This window comes from Homo sapiens, chromosome Y (assembly GCF_000001405.40).
Source record: "Homo sapiens chromosome Y, GRCh38.p14 Primary Assembly".
NCBI lineage: Eukaryota > Metazoa > Chordata > Mammalia > Primates > Hominidae > Homo > Homo sapiens.
Window position 1 is genome coordinate 6,221,598 of NC_000024.10, and position 24,006 is coordinate 6,245,603.

At 40.2% G+C, this 24,006-nt stretch overlaps 1 long non-coding RNA gene across 1 annotated transcript; it reads right to left on the bottom strand.

The window, feature by feature from the left end:
• Positions 1-20,848: 20,848 nt before the first annotated feature.
• Positions 20,849-22,013, bottom strand: TTTY23B (testis expressed transcript, Y-linked 23B). The gene is made up of 3 exons (NR_003593.1): positions 21,957-22,013; positions 21,698-21,843; positions 20,849-21,157 (listed from the first exon to the last, which is right to left on the bottom strand). It is a non-coding gene; the product is annotated as a testis expressed transcript, Y-linked 23B (long non-coding RNA).
• Positions 22,014-24,006: the final 1,993 nt, after the last annotated feature.

Sequence of the window (24,006 nt, forward strand, 5' to 3'; positions counted from 1 at the left end):
AAATTTTCTTGTTGAATTGAGCCATTTATTATTATGTAATGCCCTTCTTTGTCCATTTTGACTGTTGTTCATTTAATGTCTGTTTTATCTGTTTTATCTGTTGTAAGAATAGCGACCTTTGCTCTGTTTTTTTTTTTTTTTTTTTTTTTTTTTTTTTAAATTTGCATGATAGCTTTTTCTCCATCCCCTTACTTTTAGCTTGTGGTTATCAGTATATGTGACATGGCTTTCTTGAAGACAGTAGAAGGTTGGGGCTTGTATTTTTTTTTAAAATCCAATTTGCCACTCTCTCTTTTTAGTAGAGTATTTAGACCCTTTACATTCAACCTTAATAAAGATATTTGAGGTTTTGATCCTGGTCATTGTGTTGTTAGCTGGTTATTTTATAGACTTCATTGTGCACTTTGGGAGGGTGAGGTGGGTGGATTACCTGAGGTCAGGAGTTCAAAACCAGCCTGACCAATATGGTGAAACCCCGTCTCTACTAAAAATACAAACTTAGCCAGGTGTGGTGGCACATGCTTGTAATCCCAGCAACTTGGGAGGCTGAGGCAGGGGAATCGCTTGAATCCAGGAGGCAGAGGTTGCAGTGAGCCAAGATCGCACCATTGCACTCCAGCCTGGGCAACAAGAGTAAAACTCCATCTCAAAAAAAAAAAATAATAATAAAATAGACTTGGTTGTGTAGTTGTTTTTTAGTGTATGTGGGCAATGTACTTAGGTACATTAAATGCTGTTTTTGTGGTAACAGTAATTGTTCTTTAATTTCCATGTTTAACACTTTCATAACATCCTCTTGTAAGGCCAACCTAGTGGTAATAAATTCCCTTAGCTGTTGCTTTTCTGAAAAAAAAAATTCTCCTTCACTTAAGAAGCTTAGTTTGGGATAATATGAAATTCTTGGTTGGAATTTATTTTCTTTATTGATCCTAAAATATGCCTTCAATTTCTTCTGGCTTGTGACTTTTCCATTAGAAAGTCTGCTGTTAGCCTGATGGGGTTCCTTTTTTATGTCACCTGACACCTGTCTGTAGCTTCCTTTAAGATTTTTTTCTTTAATGTTGATCTCAGATGATCTCATGAGTATGTGTCTTTGGAATGGTCATCTTCCATAGTATATTGCAGATTTTTTTTTTTCTTGAATTTGCATGTCAATTTCTCTAACAAGGTAGGGAAGATTTTCATTAACTATATCATCAAATATGTTCTCTAAGTTTCTTATTCTCTCAGGAATGCCAGTGTGTTGCAGGTTTGGTCTCCTTATATAATTCCATATTTCTCAGACATTTTGGCCACTTTTAAAAATTCTTTTAAAAAAATGTCTACTTGAGTTGATTCAAGACTGGTCTTCAAACTGAAATTTTTTATGAGCTTGCTGTATTCTTTTGTTAATACTTTCAATTATATTGTACAATTATTGTAGTAATTTTTTTCAGTTCTGTAAGTTGAGTTTGGTTCTTTTGTAAAATTGCTATGTCACGTTTCTTCTCTTGGATCATTTTACTGGTTTCCTTGAATTGGGTTTTGTATTAGTTCATGTATGTTGCTATAAAGGAATACCTGTGACTGGGTAGTTTATGAATAAAAGAGATTTATTTTAGCTCATGATTCTGAGTGCTGTACATGATGCATGGCACCAACATTTCTCCTTGTGAGGACCGTAGGAAGCTTTCAATCATGGCAGAAGACAAAGGGCATGCTGACACATCAGACGGTGAGAGAGGGAGTGGGAGGGGTACCACACTTTTTAAAAGAATTATATCTTATGTGCATTCAGAGCAAGATATCACTCATATCATGAGGACAACACCAAGCCATTCATGAGGGATCTGCCCCAGTGATACAAACACCTACTACTGTGCCTACCTCCAATATTGGAGGTCATATTTTAACATCAGATTTGGAGAGGATAAAACACCCAAACCATATCATTCCATCCCTGGCCCCCCAAATTTTATGTTCTTCTCAGATTGCAATATAAAATTATCCCTTACCAATAATTTCCCAAAGTCTTAACTAGTTCCAAGCATTAACTTAAATGTCCAAAATCTCACCCAAGACTCTAGGTACATTTCTTCCACATTTTTTTTTTTTTTTTTTTTTTTTTTTTGCCTGTAGAATAAAAAACATACTATTTACTTGCAAGATGCAATGGTGGTACAGGCATTGAGTAGGCATTCCCATTCCAAAATAGAGAAAATAGCCAATAGAAAGGGGCAATAGGCCCCCCAGAAGTCTGAAACCCAGCAGGGCAGACTTTAATTCTTAAAGCTCCAAAATAATCCTTGAATCCATGTCCCACATCTAGGGTACACTGATGCAGGGGGTGGGTTCGAAAGGCCTTGGGCAGCTCTACCCATATGGCTTTGCATGATGTAGCCCCTGTTGCTACTCTCATGGGTTGAAGTTGAGTGTCTGTGGCTTTTCCAAGCTCAGGGTGCAAGCTGTCAATGGATCTACCACTTTGGGGTCTAGAAGGCTGCAGCTCTGTTTCCACAGCTCCACTAGGCAGTGCCATAATGGGGACTCTCTGTGGGGTGTCCAACCCCATACTTCCCTTCCACACTGCCCCATCAAATGTATTCTGAAGGGCATCTGCCTGTGGAGCAGGCCTCTTTGTGGGAACCCAGGCTTTTCCATACATTTTCTGAAATCCAGGGGTAAGCTACTAATTTTCCTTACCTCTTGCATTTTGCAAGCCTGCAGACTTAACAATACATGGAGGCAGTCAAGAATTACAACTTATACTTTCTGAAGCAGTGGCCAAAGCTGTACCTGGGACACTTTGTGCTGAGGCTGGAACTGGAGCAATCTAGATGTTTGGAACAGTGTACCAAGACTACACAGGGCAGCAGGGTCCTTTTCCTGGCCTCATGGACCATTCTTTTCTCCTAGGCATCTGGATCTGTGATGGGACAGGCTGCCTCAGATATTTCTTAAATGCCTTTAGGCCTTTTTTTTTCATTGATTCAGATATTAGCACTTGGATCCCCTTTAGTCATGTAAATCTCTCCAGCATGTAGTTGCTCCTCAACCCCACTTGTATTCTTCCCCTGAAAGTATTCTTTCCTTCTCTACCACACTGCCAGGTTTTGACTTTTTAAAACTTTTATGCTCTTCTTTCCTTTCAAATATAAGTTCCCACTTTAAGTCATTCCTTTACTCCCTTATCTGATCATTGGCTGTTAGAGGCAGCCAGGTCATGTCTTGAATACTTTACTGCTTAGAAATGTATTCTTCCAGATACTTTAAGTCATTACTCTTAAGTTTAAACTTCCAGAGAACCCTAGGACATGAGCTTAATGCAGGCTTTTTTTTTTTTTTTTTTTTTTTTTTTTTTTTTTTTTTTGCTTGGGCATAATATGAGTGATCTTTACTCTAGTCTCAAAAACTTTCTCATTTCTGTCACAGTTCTTGTCAGCCTGGCTTCACTGTCCATATTTCTACCAGCATTTTGGTTACAACCACTTAACAATCCTCTAAGAAGTTTCAAACTATTCCCTACATCTTCTTGTCTTCTTCTGAGTTCTCCAAATGCTTCCAACCTCTGCCAGCTACCAAGTTCCAAAGCTGATTCCATATATTGTATTATCTTTGTAGCAATGCCCCACTTCCCATTACCATTTGTTTTTGTATGAACTCATTTGCATTGTTATAAAGAAGTACCTGAGACTGGGTAATTTATAGAGAAAAGAGATTTATTTTGGCTCATGATTCTGAAGGCTGTACAGGAATGCATGGCACCAGCATCTGCTAATGGTGAGGGCCTCAGGAAGCTTTCTATCATAGTAGAAGGCAAAGGAGGAGCTGCTGTATAACATGGTGTGTGTGTGGGGGGGGGGGGTGGGAGTAAGTGCTAAACAATTTTTTAAAAATTATTATTTTTTTAAATTGTGAGTACATAGTAGGTATATATACTTATGGGGTACATGAGATATTTTGATAAAGGCATGCAATGTGAAATAAGCATGTCATGGAGAATGAGGTAGCCATCCCCTCAAGCATTTATCCTATGAGTAACAATTCAATTACATTCTTTAAGTTATTTTAAAATATACAATTAAGTTATTGACTATAGTCATCCTATTAGGCTATCAAATAGAATAGCAGATCTTATTCATTCTTTCTAACTATTTTTTGTACCCATTAACAATCCCCACCTTCCCATCAAAACCCCACCACACTTCCCAGCCTCTGGTACCTATCCTTCTACTCTCTCTGTCTATGAGTTCAATTGTTTTAAGATACCACAAATAAGTGAGAACATGTTATTTTTGTCTTTCTGTGCTATAATCTTTTAACCAACTAGATATTGTGTGAACTCAGAGTGAGAACATACTCATTATTGTGAGAAAAGTACCAAGCCATTCATGAGGGATCTGCCCCCATGACCCAAAACCTTTAACTAGATTCACCTCCAATATTGGAGGTCACATGTCAACATGAGATTTGGAGAGGACAAAATATCCAAACCATATCAGGTTTCAACTTTCTCCTGAATGTCTTCCTTGCCATCTAGATTCTAAATTCTATGGATGTCATTTCAATTAGGTTAAGAACTATTTCTAGGGAGTTAGTACCATCATTTGGAGGTAAGAGGACCCTGACTTTTTAAATTGGCATTGTTCTCAGGCTGATTCTTTCTCATCTGAAAGTGCTGGCATTCCTTTATCATTTTGAATTGCTGTCTTTTGGATGGGGCTTTTTGTTTTTATCTACTTTATTTCCCTGAGTTTGACTTTGGCGTAAGTTGAGAATGGTCTATTGGCTTCACTTCTGGGTGCTTTCAGAGGGCCAAGACTCTGCATAGGATCTTTATTTGTGGCTAAATTCCTGCGTTGGGTTTCACAGGCAAGGTATACTGGAAGAAATCTTTTTTGTTGTTGTTATTGATGTAGTGCAGGCTGCAATCTAGTAGACCTGCAATCCAGTAGATGACACCTAAGAGTAATGTCCAGCAGATAGGCTCTTAATGACATGCCTCTTTTGTATTTTAGCGCATTCACAGCTGTTCTATGTGGGGAGAGATATGGGGGATGGGAGGAGAGATGACTCCCCTGCCAGGTCCATTCCCAGGCCTTAGGGGACCCCTCTCCAATCACTGTCACCCTGCCTGTAATTCCTTAGCCCCAAAGGGGGCCCTGCCAGGCTGCACTTTCCTCTCCTTTAGGGTCGGCTCAAGGTGAAGGTTAGTTCACCAGGAGATCTACAGAATGCTGGAGGCCCACTGATCCTCTGTGCTTGGCAGAATCAGAGTGGGTTGTGGGGTATGCCTGTGTGTGGTCTGTTCATGCAGTAGATCAAGAGCAGGGGATCTTCAGGCAGGGCAGTGTTGCTGTGGGTGTGCCACCGGTATGGCACAAGCATCCCAAGGATTTTTGCCCATAAGACAGCTATAGGGACCGCCTAGATCATTCTCCTTTGACTGGGTCTCCTTCCAGTGGCTTCCCCAGTAACTGGCCCAATCATCTACTTTTGCCCTAAGCCTTCTGCACCAAGCTCTCTGGGGTATTAGGTGTTCCAGTCTGTGGGGCTCCCTTGGGCAGAGGCTGTAGCTGAAAGACAAGTAATGAGGTGTGAACTACTCAACCCTGTGCCCAAGCATAACCTAGTGAATATCATCCTAACCATCCTGTGGGTAACCATAGTTATAGATTAGTGCCACATAGCCAAGATGTTTTATTTGGAGCTAATCAATAAATAATCAGTTATTTGCCAATCTGTACTTTGTAATCAGTACTTGTAATACAGTGGCATGCCAATCAGTATTTTGTAACACAATGATGTGGATAAATCATTATTTGGGTATCCATCCTATATCTGCTAACCAATAAATAATCAGTTATTATGTCTAATTAGTGGCATGCCAATCAGTACTTTGTAATAAAATGATGCAGATATACCATTCTTTGGGTATGCATCCTATATCTCTATGTTCAGTTGGGCTATTTATCTTTGGTGTGATTTTTCTGTTCCCCAAATTAAGGTACATTTTGACAAGGCTAGCCAAAACAGGAGGTGAGCCAAATAAACCCATATGAAATGTGTATTATACCATCCTGAAATTGAGTTTTTGATTGGGGTATCATTATTTTCTTCTCTTTTAGCTGGGGCAGTGCCACAGCAAAAGATAGTGAGCCAGTTTTCTTCTACCAAGAAGCTCTTCTTATGTCCCTTATTTAGTAAAGTATAACTCATAGGGCAATAATATACAGTATCCTTAGTCATACTAGAGTTAAGGTTGCCAGACTATTTTTGTGATGAACGAATAAAATTTTTATACTGTATTCAGTCTTGTCCTTGGAGGAGTGATACCCACCATGGTAGGCCAGAACCACTGGACTGGAGCATGAGGCCACATATACAGCAAGAATTTTTGTGTAATCTGTCAGCATAGTTTGGGAATCATTGCAAAAAGAGGTTTTCTTCATGGGCAACAGCTTGTGGTAGTAGTACCAGGACATAAGGACTAAGGATAAAAATAATTTTAGTGAGCGCTTATAAAAGAAAATCTTCTGTATCTCTTAACAATTTTTAGTATTAAACATTTATTTAGCTACAAGCCTGGTCCACAGTTTTGAGTTTTAGCTGTCTGTATCACATGCCATCTTTTTCTCAGCCTGGTGTCAAGTTAATTCAAAGTTGGAGGTCACCTTCTGGAGAAACAGTGAAATCAGAAGTCTCAACCTTCTTTAGATAATACATATGAATCCATGAATTTATGCCTTCTAACGTAGCAGTGCAAGGGTTGTTAAGGAGTACCTGATAATGTCCATACCACTTTGGTAAAAGAGAGGTGTTTTTTTTTTTAAATAAATATTGTTTCCAATAGACAAAATCTCCTAGTTGAAGTCCATGGTCCTTGGAAGTTTTGTTTTCTGGGAGTTCACAGTGAAAACGTTATTTTACTAATTTATAATTTGTATATAATTGTGTCATAAGGCCATTACAACAGCTAAACATGTCTCCGTTTGCTATTAAAGGCATAGTTTCCTGGAGACAATTTCACAGATCTGCCTTTTATCATTTTGAATGGGGATAACTGGTGCTTGCCAAAAATGTTCAACCCCAGACTAAGAAGAATCCATGGAAGAGCTTTTGGCCAAGGAATTTAAAAGCCTCATTTGATTTTTTGAACTGAGTTTTGATTATTCAGTTCATCAGTTCCACTAACCCAGATGACAGGGGATGGTAAACACAATGGAAATGTTGGAGAATGGGCCAAATTTTACACACCAATTGAATTATTTGTCTAGTGAAGTGAGTGCCACTGTTGCTATGAGTTTCCAGAACTCCCAAGGTTGGAATATTTTTTTGTAAGTGAATTTTACTCACCAACAAGCCTTTTGCTATTTTGTGTGAAAATGCCTCTACCCATTCTGAAAATGTGCAAATCATTACCAGAGCATATTTGCATGTTTTTCGAAGATGGTAACTGGGTGAAATCTAATTGCTGTGCCTGAAAAGGGGCCTTGGGTGAAGGAAAATGTCCTTGAGAGCTATGTAGTAATTTCCTTAGATTATATTTTTAACAAACGTAATAGCAATTTCATACCTTATGAGCTATAAGAAGTTTCCAAAAATATTGTTTTTCCCAAGCAATTGTTTTGTCAGGGCTCCAGTGAGTTAGGTCTTGTATATAGGTTAAAAATGGTAACCGCAATTCAGCAGCAAGTATAGGCAAATTGTTTGGCCCATACTATACCTTTTCTTTGCGGGAAGATATTTCCTTTTTGTTTTCCAACTTTTCTGTTCTAATATTGGAGCTCTGGATTGAGCTAATTTTATGTTAAATTCAGAGTTTTTTTAAAGTTAATATAGATCTCTTTTTATTTTCTGTTGGTTCGTTCGTTTGTTTGTTTGTTTAGATGCATTTAGAACAGCTTTGTGCTACTTTATCAGCTAGCTAATTTCCTTTGCTTTCTGGTGTATCTGATTTCAAATGGCCTGAGATTTTAATTATGGCCAGCGATTTTGGGAATAATATGTCTTCCAACAATTGTAAAATTGTCTGCTCATTTTCTATGAATTGACGAGAAGAGGCTAAAAATTCTCTCTGTTCCCATTGTATTCCATAATTATGAGCTACTTTGAAAGCATATCTACTGTTTGTATAGATATTAGCAGTTACTCTTTTTGACAATCAACAAGCCCTAATCAATAAAATTAATTCTGCTTTTGGAGCTGAGGTGGCTTCTGGAAGTTAAACACGTTCTGTTTTTTCAGTTAAAGATAATATTGAGTAGCTTGCACGGTAAGTCCCAGATACGTCCTTTAAGATCCATCTTTAAACCAAACTACATCAGCATAATTAAGGAGACTCTCTTCTCGTAGGACAGAGAAGTTGAAAAGTTAAGGTTATTCAATTGTGCAGTGTTTCATCTGAAAGTAAAGGCAGAAGAACTGCAGGACTTAGATTTTTATGCCTAGAGATGGTGATATGAGAAGCTGAAAAAAGTAAAACTTCATATAAAGCTAATCTGCTAACTGAATAACGTTGAGTGTGGTGAAGGTTAGCAATGATTTCACAAAATGAGGGATGAAAATACTATGGGATATCCCCTTTACAATTTCTTCAGTTGCCTTAACCAACAAAGCAGTGACTATTATGGCAGTGCCACAAGGTGGTAGCTCTATAGCCACCGGGTATAACTGATGGCTATAATACCCTAACAGGTTCATTTTGGTCTCAATGTATTTGAGTTAGGACCCTCAAAAGTGTTAGCACTACTTTCACGTATATATAATGAAAATGAAAAATTATAATTTGGATGCCCCAAAGCTGAGGTATTAGCAAGGTAATATTTTATCATTTCTAATGTTAGTTGATCTTTTGTCCAATCTAGAGGGTCTAGTATGTCTCGTTTTAAGACAGCATATAAGGGCTGGCATTTTAAGACATAGCTTGGGATTCATTTTTTAAAATATCCTGTCATTCCCCCAAACCCTCTCAACACTTTCTTGGTTCTTGGTGGTAGAAAAGCTAAGATCTCTTTTAGTCTGTCTGGATTAATAAAAATTCCTTCCTTGGATATTAGATAACCTAAGTAGTTTACTTGTTTTTTTGACAAAATTGAAGTTTACCTTTAGAAGCCTTGTGTCTCTTTAAGGCTAATTGTTGTAACAAGTGAATCTCATTTTCAATAGAGACTTGCTTATCCTCTTAGCAGAGGAGTAAATTATCTATCTATTGTATTAACATACATTTTTAAAGTCAATATCTGAGAGAGATCTTTTACTATCTGTAAAAAGTTTGGCTCTTAGTATAGTACTGAGGCTTGACTGTCCACATGTATTGTCTGTTTTCCAAAGTGAAAACAAAGAGAAATGAACTATTTTTATTCATAGAAATACTAAGGAATATATAACATAAGTCTATTATAGTAAAGAACTCACCTTCAGTTGGAATGGCAGCTGACAATGTATATGAATTTGGCATTTCTAGATGTTGGGGAATAACAATGTTTTTAATTGCTCTCAGATTCTGTACAATCATCCATCCTCTACCATCTGGTATCCTTAGAGAAAAGAGAATGCTTATACACTGTTGCTGGGAATGTGTATTAGTTCTGTCACTGAAGAAAGCAGTTTTGAGATTTCTCAAAGAAGGATTGGAGTGTTACATGGTCTTTACAGAGAATAGTCTGTCTTCTTTTTGTATAATTTGAAGGCTATTCCTATCAAACTACCAATGTCATTTCTTCACAGAATTGAAAAAAAAACTTCTCTAAATTTCATGTGGAATCAAAAAAAAAAAAAAAAAGAACCTGGATAGCTAAAGCAATCCTAAGCAAAAAGGACAAAGCTGGAGGCCTCACATTACTTAACTTCAAACTGTGCTATAAGTCTACAGTAACCAAAAGAGCATGGTACTGGTACAAAAACAGACACATAGGCCAGTGGATCATAATAAACAACCCAGAAATAAAGCTGTATGCCTACAGCCATTTGATCTTTGACAAAGTTGACAAAATAAGCAATGGATAAAGGACTCCAAATTCAATAGATGGTGCTAAGATAGCTGGCTAGCCATATGCAGAAGATCAAAACTGGACCTCTTCCTTACACATTATACAAAAATCAACTCAAGGTGGATTAAATACTTAAATATAAAACCTAAAACTATAAAAACCCTGGAATACAACCTAGTCAATACCATTCTACACATAGGAGTGGGCAAAGATTTCATGACAAAGAGGCCAAAAGCAATTGCAACAAATGGAAAAAAAAAATTAACCAATGGGATCTAATTAAACTAAAGAACTTCTGCACAGCAAAAGACCATACCAACAGAGTAAACAAACTATTGCATTTAACAAAGGTCTAATATTCAGAATCTATAAGGAATTTAAACAATTTAAAAAGCAAATAACAAATAATTCCATTTAAAATGGGCAAAGCATTAATAAGAATGAAACTGTGTCCTTGCAGCAGCATGGATGCCTGAGTGCAGCTGGAGGCTATTATTCTAAGTGAATTAATGTAGAAACAGAAAACCAAATACTACATGTTCTCACTTATAAGAGGGAGCTAAACACTGAGTACACATGGGCACTAAGAAGAGAACAATAGACTCCACAGCTTTCTTGGAGGTGGAGGGTGGGAGGAGGGTGAAGACTAAAAAATTACCTACTGGGTACTATGCTCACTACCTGGGTGTCAAAATCATTTTTACATCAAACCCCAGCAACACACAATTTACCCATGTCACAAACCTGCCCACGTACCCCCTAAACCTAAAAGTTTGAAGGAAAAAAATGGCAAAAAAACATGAACAGACATTTCTCAAAAGACATGTGAGTGTCTGATAAACATATGAAAAATGCTCTTTATCACTAATCATCAGAAAAATGCAAGTCAAAACCACAATGCAATATCATCTCACACCAGTCAGAATTGCTATTAGTAAAAAGTAAAAAAAAAAAAAAATAGCAGGTGCTGGAGAAGCTATGGAGAAAAGAGAATGCTTATACACTGTTGGTGGTAATGTAAATTAGTTTGGCCTCTGTAGAAAGCAGTGTGGAGATTTTTCAAAGAACTTAAAAAAACAAAACTACCATTCAACCCACAACTGCATTCCTGGGTATATACCTAAAGGAAAATAAATCATTCTGTAAAAAAGACACATTCACTCATATGCTTATTGCAGCACTATTTACAATAGCAAATACATGGAATCAACTTATGTTTCCATCAGTGGTAGATTCGCTGAAGAAAATGTGGTACATATACCATGGAATATGCCATAGAATACTATGCAACCATAAGACAGAATGAAATAATATCCTTTGCAGCAACATGGATGCAGCTGGAAGTGAATTAATGCAGGAACAAAAACCAAATATATCAAGTTCTCACTAATAAATGGGAGCTCAACATTGGGTACTCATGGACATAAAGATGGAAACAATAGACACTGGAGACCACTAGAGCGGGAAGGGAGAAAAAGAGAGGGGCATAGGTTCAAAAACTAACTATTGGATACTATTCTTACTATCTGGTGACAGGATCATTATTACCCCAAACCTCAGCCTCATGCAATATATTCACGTAACAAACCTGTACATGTATCCCCTGAATCTAAAAGAAAAGTTGGAATTAAAATAATAATAATAATAAAAAAATAAGGAAATTATAGGCTTGATCCCTTTTAGTGTTTAAGTTCTCAAATGATGTTGTTTAACATTTGAATGAGTTTTTGATGGATCTATTTGAACACTGATTGGGGTGGCAAAGATGATTCTTCCGATATCATTGGAAGACTTTGATCATAACTGATCAGGCACTACCTTTAGAAGGTTTTATAATCTTTCATTGCTCAATAATTGAGTGTCTTCTATGGCAACATGGAATGCAATTGAATTTTATTTTGAACTCTTCTTTATGTCTAGTAACACAGTTTTATATCTTTTTCTAAATTCAATTTTCCCTTTTTGGGAGAAAAGCATGTGGGTATTATATAATTCCTAGAAGTCTCTTTCTGTAAGATGGAGGGGGGCTAATATAACCAGAAGGCAAATGTGAGTCCTTTGACACCTAGTTGAAAAGTTAGTGGCTGAGACTTGTATGCTGATACAGGAGTATTTGTGACACATACCGTTTAAATTTTTTGTTTACTCTGAGCAATGGAATCTTGTCATAAGGTGGAATTTCTTACATATAGTGTGGATCCACATCAGCAAGAGCTTGTGCTCACAACAAGAGCTTGCGTTAGTTATCTATTTAAAATAATTTTTATTTTTCTCAAAGTGGAAACAGAGACATAAACTTAAGTATATAATTTAAATTTCTTGGCAAAACCAACAGGGTCCTGGTGAGAATCAGGTAGTTTATTAATTATTTCTTTAAGTTCTACCGTTGACTATGATTGATCTTCTAGGTCAGGTTCTACCCTACCTGATACACGCTGTTGAAGAAATGGAGCTAAAACATTAGGAGCAGGAGGAGGCATAGGAAGTAGATCTGGGCAGGTAGTTCAGATATTATCAGATTAAGAAAAGGAGAGGCTGAGAGTGGATAAGGAGAAATTTTCAAAGCCTTTTTAAACTCACGAATTGTTCTAGACAAGTTTTTGTTCCTCCTTTTGTAAAGAAATAACTTTATTAGAATGCTTTTTGGAAACTTCCAAATATCACTGAAAACAACTCTCCCAATTATTCTGTTTAATATGGAGCCAGCCTTTTTTGGATTGAGAATGCAAGTAAATTAGTTTAGGCATTTCAAAGGTATCCCAGTTTGGCCACCACAGTTTTGTTTTTTCCACAAGTTATGTGATACCATTTTTTAAAATAGCAACAGGAGGTGGCCCCATAAATGTTTCACATGATTCCAGCTGTAGTTTCTATATTTGAATCTCTCCTTAAGAGGAAAGACTTGGTTTTGGATAGACTGTTGATTATAATTTGGGTTCTCTTCTTAAGTGATTCAAGACTGTAAGGGAAATTTTGGCCACACAAAAATGAAGTTTAGACAGTCAATGGGGAAAGGATAATCTCTTCAGTAATTGGTGCATGTGTTCCCTTTGTGCCCTCGTCAAAAAGTAGTTGAATACATGTGGGCTCTCTCTTCTGTTCCACTGGTCTATGTGGCTGATTTCATCACAGTATGATGCTTTTTCTAAGGTTTGGTCATAACCAGCACCAAAAAACAGCAAGCTGCGCCATTCCCCCAGCTATTCTACTTCTTCACGCTGCTTAGCTGGGGTTTTGGGGACTTGAATTCCCTTGACAGTTTCTCTACAACTGTCTTTCTCCCATTTCTGTGCTGGCTCCATACTAAATGAACAGTGTATCCTTACCACAGCTAGATGTGCCTATTTTATGTAAATCTAAGTAATTCATTTCAAGATTAAGATATCATTATAAAGCAATTACAACTGGAGATTGTTAATGAATATCTTTCCCTTTATTTGTGTGTGTCTGTGTGTGTGAGAGAGACAGAGAGAAACAGAGATAGAAACAAGGTCTTACTCTGTTGCCCAGGCTGGAGTGCAGTGGCGTGATTCACAGTAGCCTCAAACTCCCAATATTAAGAGATTATCCCACCTCTGCCTCCTGAGTACATGGGACCACAGGCACACACCACTGCATCTGGCTATTTTTATTTTGGCATAAATAAGCTCTTATCATATTGTGCACCTGGTCTCAAATGATCCTCGAAAATAGTTTCTAAAGAAGTATTTCTACTTTAGTGCTTACCTGGACTTCATCTGGATTCATGTGACCTCCAGGGCTTCATTCAAATTGAAATGTGGAAATAATAAGATTTTTCTTGATTTTTTTTCCCCAGAAAAAGCTCAGGAGCCCTGGCCCTAGTCCAAGTGGGGCTTAGTCATCTTCTGGAATCTGCCCAAGCTGACTGTGAGCATTGACCATGCCATACCCTACCTAGCTCCCAAGGGACCTCTAGGACCTGGGTTGATCTTCCTGAAGCAGCCACTACATTTTCAACCCCTGGTGTTTCCTCTATGCTTGGAGGAAAGTCTGGAACAGGAGAAATTTACACAACTATATGACTATTGGCTATCTAGCTGGTCCCTTATGAGGGCTGAGTAATGAAGAAGACCCTGGGATGGAAGAGAAGCATGTTTGGAAAGAGAATAGTATCCTCTCTTGAATAATAAAAAAAAAAAACTGTATTTCTCTTCACCATACTTCCCCCTCTAATCTAGGCTAAATTTGAAAACAAACAAACACAAACACCTCTTCTGTGTTTTCTATCAGGAAGTTCTGGAATTCTGCAAAAAGGGCACCTGAGCAACCAACAAGTCAGCCCTTGTGCCCAATTGTGCCCCAAGCTGAATGAATTCACTTTTTGTGTAGAGGCCAAGACAGCTGTTGGGGAGGCTGGCTGTAAGGGGACAAATTCATGGGGTATGAATGCCAGGAAGAAAGAGGAATATCTTGCACACTAAAAGTTACTTCTGGCCCTCCTTCAAAATATTGATTCATATCTTGTATCTTTGTTTCTTGCAGCGTGACTTGGGAGCACCTTTCGTATGCCATCTACAGCAAAAGGACACTTGGGTGCAAGTGGGAATCTTGAGTCACTTTGAGGAGCATTGCACAAAGCCGTGTGTCTTCAGCCAAGTGCACCCTTTTCTTTCTGGCTCCTGGGAGTGCCATGGCCTAGCCATGCACCCTGGCACCACCAGGGGCCCATGACTACCTCTGCTTCCATGTCCCTTTCAGTCTCTGCTTCTAAAGATGCCTTGACTTTTATCTCCACTCCCACTTCCATTTGGCCACACTTCATCTCTCTGCCACAGCCTCAGAGTAAGGCTCAAAACCTTGGTAGGCAAAGCCAAAGAAGAAGGTAATTGAAATAGAAAAGAGTAGATGGAAGGAGAGAGGAGAGAAAGCTCTTCCTGAAAAATGCACAATATTTTATCTCCCAAATCATGGAAGTTATTTCCTTATGGCTTACAAAGGCATTTCATACTTGATATATTATTCAATTTCCATAGTATCCCTATAGATTATGATAGAGATCATTTAACATGATTATTATAGTTATCTTAAATGTGTATTCTGATACTAGATAAGTAGAATGGATTGATCGATTTCTCATGGCAAAAGATGAATAGGGCTAATATTAAGACACACTCTCCTAACACAAAGACATTTCTTTACTACCACACAGTAGCTTGCATTTGTAATAGAGTTATTTTAAATTAAGTATATTTTAAGTTAAAGATATTTTGATGTTTGGAAACAGTGTAATAGTTGGTAAGTAATGAGTTTTAGGTGCTGGTGTACTAGATTGGGTTACGTTGCTATTATCAGTTTCCCCCTTCCTTTGGCTATCAGAAAACCTATCACAATATTAGCAATGGCTATTTCACATTACTGTACTTCTACTTGTTTCCTTAGAAATTGAGGGATCTCTTTTGGTCTCATGAGTTAAATGTGCACTTAGCCACAGCTATTTTATAGCTACCACCTATCGCCATAGTTACAGTGAATAATACACTTAAAACATAAAAGAGGCCATAATTATTTGCTCACATCCTCCAAAGTCTAACTCAAAGACAACTACACTTAAGATCTTAGTTATGCTTCTAATTTCATCTATACTTCCTTACCCCTTCTACAGACAGGTTATCTTCAACATTTTTATCTCTCTCTATATATATATAAACGAGCATTGCTTCAACTCAGTTTTCTGAGGAACGCTAAAATAATTTTAAAAATATGAGCTCTTTCCTGAACCTCAATCTTGAATTTTCTATTTAAACTATTGGTTTGATATCTCACTAAAATTGTAAGTTTAGGAAGAAAAGCCCCCTCCATTTTAGAGACAGGTGCTTTATCTCCAAATTTTTCATTATTTATTAATACATTCAAATCATTACATTTTCTGTTGCCTATCTACTTCAGTGATTTCTGGGTAGCTACAATCATGGATATATAAATGTTGCAATGGGGGAGAAAGCTGGGATGACTCCCAATATTTTGATTAAAGAAATTTAAGCTATGACATAAAGAAACTATGAACTCAGAAAGATAGTAAGAGGAACACTTCTTTTCAAGAAAAATGCATGAACACAAAAGACGTAGAAGTTTGTCTTTGCTGGTCATATTTAACAATGCTAATTTGGTTAGCACAAATAGGAGGGATTTAAAACTTAAAAAAATGGGCCAGGTGCGGTGGCTCACACCTGTAATCCCAGAACTTTGGGAGGCTGAGGCGGGCGGATCCCGAGGTCAGGAGATCGAGACCATCCTGGCTAACATGGTGAAACCCCGTCTCTACTAAAAAATACAAAAAAAATTAGCCAGGCACAGTGATGGACATCTGTGATCCCAGCTACTCAGGAGGCTGAGGCAGGAGAATGGCAGGAACCCAGGAGGCGGAGTTTGCACTGAGCAGAGAGCACGCCACTGCACTCCAGGCTGGGAAACAGAGTGAGGCTCCGTCTCACAAAAAAAAAAAAAAAAAAAAGATCTACAGATGGCAATTCTATTCAAATTAGCACAATTAGCTTATTTTTCTCCTCAGCTTCAGCAGATCAGATTTCTCTGCAATATGCCATGCCTTGGCAGGCTGGGATCATCAGCTGTGGCAGTCAGGTCTACAGCGGGTCCATAGTTAGCAGCTCATGGGTTCTCATAGCTGCCCACTGTGTCAGGAACATGTAAGTTTGTGCCTGCCTCTTCCCATATCCTATGATTTATGATCCCATAAGTACATTGCTGAAGGTTTCTCTGTCCTAATTCACTTCTATAATACATGAGCATCTCACTTATATGGATAACATTTTTGTTTTAGGCTAAAAAGAAATTTTGTCACAGTGTTTGGCTTATTAGTACCTCTGTTAGTCAATTCCTCTGCAATCCCCTTGTCTATGAACTCTTTATCCATAGATTTCTGATTTCTCTGAAGATGAGCTAGGGACCTTATGTATCATAAATAAAGAAATATGCTAGAAAGCCTGATGTAGGTTTAAGGTTCAGGTTTTCTAATGAATGTATTGTAATAAATCTTTGCCTATGCACACAGGAGTCCTGAAGACACTGCTGTGATACTGGGCCTGAGGCATCCTGGGGCACAACTGAGAGTTGTGAAGGTGTCTACCATTCTGCTGCATGAGAGATTCTGGTTGGTGAGTGGAGCAGCAAGAAATATCCTGGCATTGCTACTCCTCCAAGATGTCCAGACTCCCATTCGGCTCTCAGCACTCCGGCTGTCTGAAGAATCTGAATAGTCCAGAAGGCTGGCTCTCTGGGGCACAAATTATTACACCAGGTCAGTGTTACTTTTTCTCACTGGGGTAGCAGTTGTAAAAAATAAATGAGATTTGTATTTTTAATATTATGTTTCAAGGAGTAACTGTAATCACAATTGTATACATTACTAATAATAAGATGTTTAATCCACACAAGAGACCCACTAGGAAATGTGTTTTTGTTTTATAAGATGATGGTTCTGATGATAACTTCACAAGATTTTAGATCTGAAAACATTTATATGAGGATCTTTCTCTGTACAGTCAATTTTATAAACCAAAGTAGACATGATTGGTTTTCCAACTCTTTGCTAACTTCAAAACAAAGGAAAAAGAAGGTTTTTTGATTTGTTTTCTTTTTACCTCTTTATGAAAATGAAGCTGAACTTGACTTGGCATTTGGAATTTCTTAAGTAAAATTTACTTGTTACTTTTGAAGAGTGGCATTTAAAAAGTGATTAAAGAATGACAATGTTGTCCACAGTGGCTCAATCCTATATTTCCAGCACTTTGGGAGCTTCAACCAGGAGAATGTTTTAGGCCCAGGAATTTGATACCCAGTTGGGCAATAGAGCAAGACTTCATCACTAAACAACAACAACAACAAATAGCTTGATGTGGTGTTGCACACATGTAGTCCCAGCTACCTGGGAGGCTGAGAGAGGAAGATAGCTTGAGCCCAGGAGGTTGAGGCTGCAGTGTGTGAAGATGGTGCCAATGCACTCCAGCCTGGGTGACCAAGCAAGAACTTGTCCAAAAAAAGGTTTGGGAGCTGGCATGGTGGCTCATGCCTGTAATCCCAGCACTTTGGGAGGCTGAGGCCAGTAAATCACCTGAAGTCAGGAGTTTAAGACCAGTCTGACCAACATGGGGAAAACCCATCTCTACTAAAAATACAAAATTAGCCAGGAGGGGTGGTGTGTGCCTGTAATCCCAGCTACTCAGGAGGCTGAGGCAGGAGAATTGCTTGAACCCAAGAGGCTGAAGTTGCAGTGAGCTGTGAGCAGGCCACTGCATTCCAGACTGAGTGACAAAGTGGAACTGCATCTCAAGAAAAATAAAGGTCAATAGAAAGATAATAAAATATATAAATGTGTGATGTAAAATTTAATGGTGATAAAATACACTGAATTTCTCTGTGTAAGTTACACATACAAATGTAATGACGAGACAGTGATAAGACAAATCAAGGTTTTATCTCAATACTTAGTGTCTACATGTAACATATGTTCTTTAGGATAGTTATAGTCCATTTTCTTTCCAGGAGAGACTGATGAGAATGCAGAAATGTTAAAGCACAAGTGATGGAAGCTTCCAGCTGTGCCCACCTGTAACCTGACATAGACAGTTCCATTGTTTGCTTCATTACTCAGGTCAAAGACATTAATGCAAATGTGGTACACAGTCAAATTCTTTTCTATCTACATGATAGAAACTATAACTTTGTCCCTGTATAGAAGGGTATACAGCATATGCCTAAATGATAAATATAAGTGAATCATTGATCAGTAGGAAACCATTTTAAAAGTCTTTAATTACAGAACAAAATCTCTGAAAAATTTTATTGTCAATCTGAGTTTTCTTACATGAGTTATTAATCTCTAGCCATACTAAAGAGATAGTATGCTGTTCTTCAAACAAATTAGACATTGTATATAAAACGACTCCAACATTTTTCTATTTCTCCAAGTAAAATAACTTGTTTAAGGTATGCTCTTCAGTGATTTTTTTGTAGTAACACTTTTGAAGGTATTTTACCAGGAAGATTTACTTATGTACTTATCTGATGTCTGCCTTTCTTCTGAATACATATTTTATCACCCACTTATTAATTCTAAGTTTAAGAAGTTGGAATAGGGATTTAAATCCAAATTCTACGTTTGAATTTACAGGAGTCAGTGAGTCCAGAAAATGTCATTATGCGCAGACCAATATCTGGCAATGGCACTAGGGGACAAATATGCTTTACCAGTCTCAAAGCCCTAGCTACTACAGTGAGTCCACACTTCTCCTGTATCTTATCTGCTTCAGCAAAAGAAGGCCACCCACTAAATCAGGCCGTTGTGGCTTGGGTGGAAACTCCTAAGTCCTCTACTCTCCTTAAAGAGCCAACCACACTGCCACTTTCCTCAATAATAATTACTGCAGCTCTGAGACTTTGGTAGCCTAGTGACTATAACTATTGATGCTACAGTCTGGTCACAGTATGATAAAACACCAAAACAACAAAAACAAAAATATTGACTTAAGCCTTCTAAGATCTCTCTAAATATACCTTCATTAAATATGATCTTTTTCTACATAACAACTGCTTTCTACTTCCTGAACTAATGCATGGCCTTGGATTGCTTTCATTCTTGAAATTGATTCAAAAGTGTATATTTAACATGAAGGTGAATACAGAATTTCATGTGTCAGCAAATAAAATTTTCAAAATGATGCAAAATACAAATGTGAAATTTATTTGTGAATTTGATTATTCTTTCAGATTATATTTTCATACTTACCCCCTCGCACAATTTTTTATAACTATCTGCATGTTCTCCTCAGGTTGGGGAAAAACAGTATTGGAGTTCTTGAATAATTTATGAAAGACAGAATGACAATACTATACAAGGTTAACCTATACACAATACTGTATTTGGTGAGCGAAAATATTACATATAAAATCCTACAAAAGTATTAAGTAAATATAATACATTATTTCAATAATTATAAAATACATGTACATGAAGAAAATATAATAATGATTAAAATACATTAACAAACAAATGAGGCTGGGCGTGGTGGCTCACACCTGGAAGCCCAGCATTTTGGGAGGCCAGTGCAGGCAGATCACAGCAGTATGAGACCAGTCTGGCAAATACGGTGAAACCAGTCTCTACTAAAAATAGAAAAATTAGCAGGACATGTGCCTGTAATCCCAGCTCCTCAGAAGGCTAAGGCAGGGGAATCGTTTGAAGCTGGGAGGCAGATGTTGCAGTGAGACGAGATTTTGCCACTTAACTTCAGCCTGGATGACAGATCGAGACTTCATCTGAAAACAAACAAACACACACACCCCCCCAAAAACTAATGAATTTAAAAAAAAAATCTATGCTAGAAAAAGTGCTCAGAGGCAAACTCACATATCTAACTGAAAAAGAAAATCCTTGAAAACAAAAGTTCCAGAAGAGGCAAATAAGAAAACACAATTAACACCTTGCATATAAAGTACAAATAGTAAAGTGAAAAGAACCACAGGGGAAAAAAATTCAAAATTTACGACTAAGTACTCTAAAAGAAGCTGAAAGTCCCTCAAAAACTTTCCAGAGTCCATGTCCCTGTATTGCAAAAATGATCATAACAATTGCCAGGAGTAGAACAATAAAAATATATCTTAAAACTTGATAAACACTTCAAGTCTCTCATAATATTTATAATGGAAAATGGATCCTTCTGCAGTTTTTCCATACAATTATGAAGAAATTATTTTTCTTTGCACTTAAATTTGTTTTTTCAATATTCTAAGAAATTAACTTTTATATTAATAGTAGGTGATGTAACAAAGCAGGTCTTTATCAAGATAACTGACACTGGATGTCCATACCATTACTCAGGTGGGCCTTAATTCCCAGCCAGGTTCCCTCCCTGGACACATACTGAAGGTCCCCAGCCATTTTGCAATCTCTTCACATTTCCAGTCCTGGAGGAAGCTCTAAAATACATGTACATGGAGATAATAGAACATTTCATCACACTGGAACCCAGTGCATTCCTCCAGATTCCCTGTGAAGTGGACTGTCTTATATGGGAAGGCAGGGCAGTTGGAGTGAGGATAGCAGAGAGGATAACATATCAGGGCAGCCCGGGGTCATCAAAACAGAACATGACAGACCTGGGAGAAACATTCTGAAGGAATGTAGACTTAGATGGGCCTCAGGTGGATATCTGTGTAGAGAGGGAGAGGGTCCTGGATGAGCTCAAACTGAGTCTCAGGTGGTAGGAGGTCTCAGGGCAAGGGAGGGAGCTGGCAAGTGATGATGAGACAGCTATCCCTTAAGCTCTGCTTCTCACCCACTGATCTTAGTCACATATGCATTGTAGTGGCTTAAGGTTCCCCAATCCTGAAATGTGGGTGTTGCAGTTCACCGATGGGCCTTTCTCCCCCAACCAATGGATGGCCTGGGATTGCTCATTGCAGTTTCCTGCATGATCCTTGGGTTCTCCCTGTGGGGCACAGATCCAGGACTGAAAGACCTCTCAGTTCCCAGCCCTAGGCTGTTCCCTGGCCTCTGTTCCCTCTAAAATGCTGTCCCTCCCACCATGGAATAGAACTGCAATGGATTGAGCCATAGGCCCTGGCTGATGATCTAGGGGACTGCAGAAGTGGGTCCAGGACAGTTCATGTCACAGTTTAATGCCAATTCCCCAGAGACCAAGGAATGCCCAGCGAGGTCCTTTCCCATGATGCCCCATGGTGAACCTCACCTCAGCAATCCTACCAAAACCCGGGCAGTCATGTTCAGCCAAACAGGTGAAAAAGCTCAGGTAGGAGGTGTACTGCCTGCAGCTGGAGGCTTGACCTTCATGATCCCAGAACAACTGGACTGCAGTGGAATGAGATACCCTGTACCCTGGAGGGAGAGGAGTCAGGAAGGTTCATCCTAGACCTACCCTCCCACATACCGGCTCCCCTACCATGCTAGGAGGCACTCCTTACCGAGGATGCCAATGCAGTACTACTTACTGATCACTTCATTGTGGAAATAAAGGCTGTGACAAAAGGAAATCTTCATCTTGCTGCCGGTAACAGGGATGCCTGAGTTCCTCCACCTGCCTAACCAAGAAGGAGAAAGAGTATGGATTCAATGGGACCATTTCATCTAGCTGGGCTGAGGTGGCCTGCTAGCTGGAGTGAAGCATGAATTTCCCATTCCCAGCTTTGCAACTGAGACAACCCTGGACCCCAGGGGGACCTCAAACTGACTCAGACACTGGACCCCTCCCACAGACCCAGGCTCCCCAGCCTGACCTGCAAATCCATCACTTCATCATGGTTTCCAACCCAGGTCAACATCTGGTGTGCCAAACAATCTACATCTGGTCAAGGAGTCTCCAGATGATTCAGTGGGCAAGCCTCCTGACGCCTGCAATTCTGCAAGAGCACAGAGAATGTGGAGCAGGGATATCTCCCAGACATTTGGCCTGTCACGCTCCGATGTTGATCCTCTGTTTCTGTCTGGTGAGGAGGCAATGCCACAACTGTGGTGGTTTTTGGGGTGGCTGGACCCCGGCCAAGACGGCCTGGGCTGACCAGAGACGGGAGGCAGAAAAAGTGGGCAGGTGGTTGCAGCTGAGGGGCAGGGGCGGGGGCAGGGTGGTGTGAGGCGGCTGCTTCTCTGGGTTCATGAGCTGCAGGAGGCCTTTGCTTGCTGGGTGCTGGACATGCTCTGCTGATGTCCGGGTGTGTGGTGTCTTCTTATCCTAGTCTCCCTGAGGGGTGGACCTGTCTGCCTGAGGAAGCCCTGTAGTTAGAAGGGGCTGCAGGGTAGTTCCTGGCGCTCCCCATGGGGACTGGGTGGGTGCAAAGGAGGTTATATACGCTCAGGGGCTATAACCCTTTGGGTGCAGCGCCGGCAGGCAGAAGAAAGCATATCTGGGGAGCTAGTACCTGCCTTGTGGAGGTCGGCAGCCCCATGTACCGCTAACCCGAGTCTTAAGCACCTTGTGTTTCTGGGGCGAGCCTTCTGGAAACGGGCACTGAGAGCGGGGGTGATTCAATGGCTGGCAATGTCATGCAGACTCCCCTTCCTCCAGGACATTCCCAGGGAAACATGCCCTTTGACATTGTGCTGTGCGTGAAGGGACTCTGGCGCCGCGATTCTCCCTTGTGAGTGCTGTGCTCGGCTCCCCTTCCCTACCACGTGCTCCCAGTGCTCCCAGTGCTGCTACAAGCAAGCTGCCCTCACAGCTGCAGGAACGTGACCTCGGCTCCCATCCTGTCCCCCATCCCCTGCCTCCTGGCTCACCCCATGTGCCTCCTCCTGGCTCCTCCCCCAACAGCCCCCATGCCCCCACGAAGCCCGATGCCCATCCCCTGCTGCCAGCCATCTGGAATCGGCAGCTGCAAGGATATGGCTCTGTCCCAGAAGCCCAGGCCACAGGGGCATTCACGGAGTCTACCTCCAAGTGAAGGACCTCCAGCGAGTCCATTGATGGCCTGGGTGTGCTGGGTCCAGGGCCAAGCTGTGCCCGCTGGCCCTCCTTCTGCCACCCCACGTCAGTCTCCTCCTCAACCACCACCTCCACCTCAGCCATTATGTCTTCCACCTTCAGCACCGCCTCCTCTTCCAAGGCTGCCTCCTTGCTCTGTACCCCGGCCGTCCTCTCCAGCAGAGCCTCCAGCCTGAACACGGTGCCCTCCTGGGTGCTCCCACAGACCCTGGCCTGCACAGCCCAGCACATCCCCGGTATCCCTATGCTCTGGGGGCTGCTCCCCAAGAGGCCCGCTCCGTGAAAGACCCACGGGCCTCTCCCTGCTGAAAACCTAGTCCCACACCTACATGGACCCAGGTTTCCTGAGGAGCCCCGCTGGGCCCGCAGATGGCCGCACTCGCCGTGGGGCTCAGGACCACAGCAGGGTCAACTGCGCATAGGAGCTCAGAAGCCAGAGGCCGAGGCCCTGTGCTTCCAGAGCCCCACCAGCAGGCACCGCAGCGGCTGCTGCGGGTGCGGGAGCCTCTGGGTCGTCAAGGCAGTGCACAACAGCGTGCGCGCAGGCCGACAATGGCCAACCC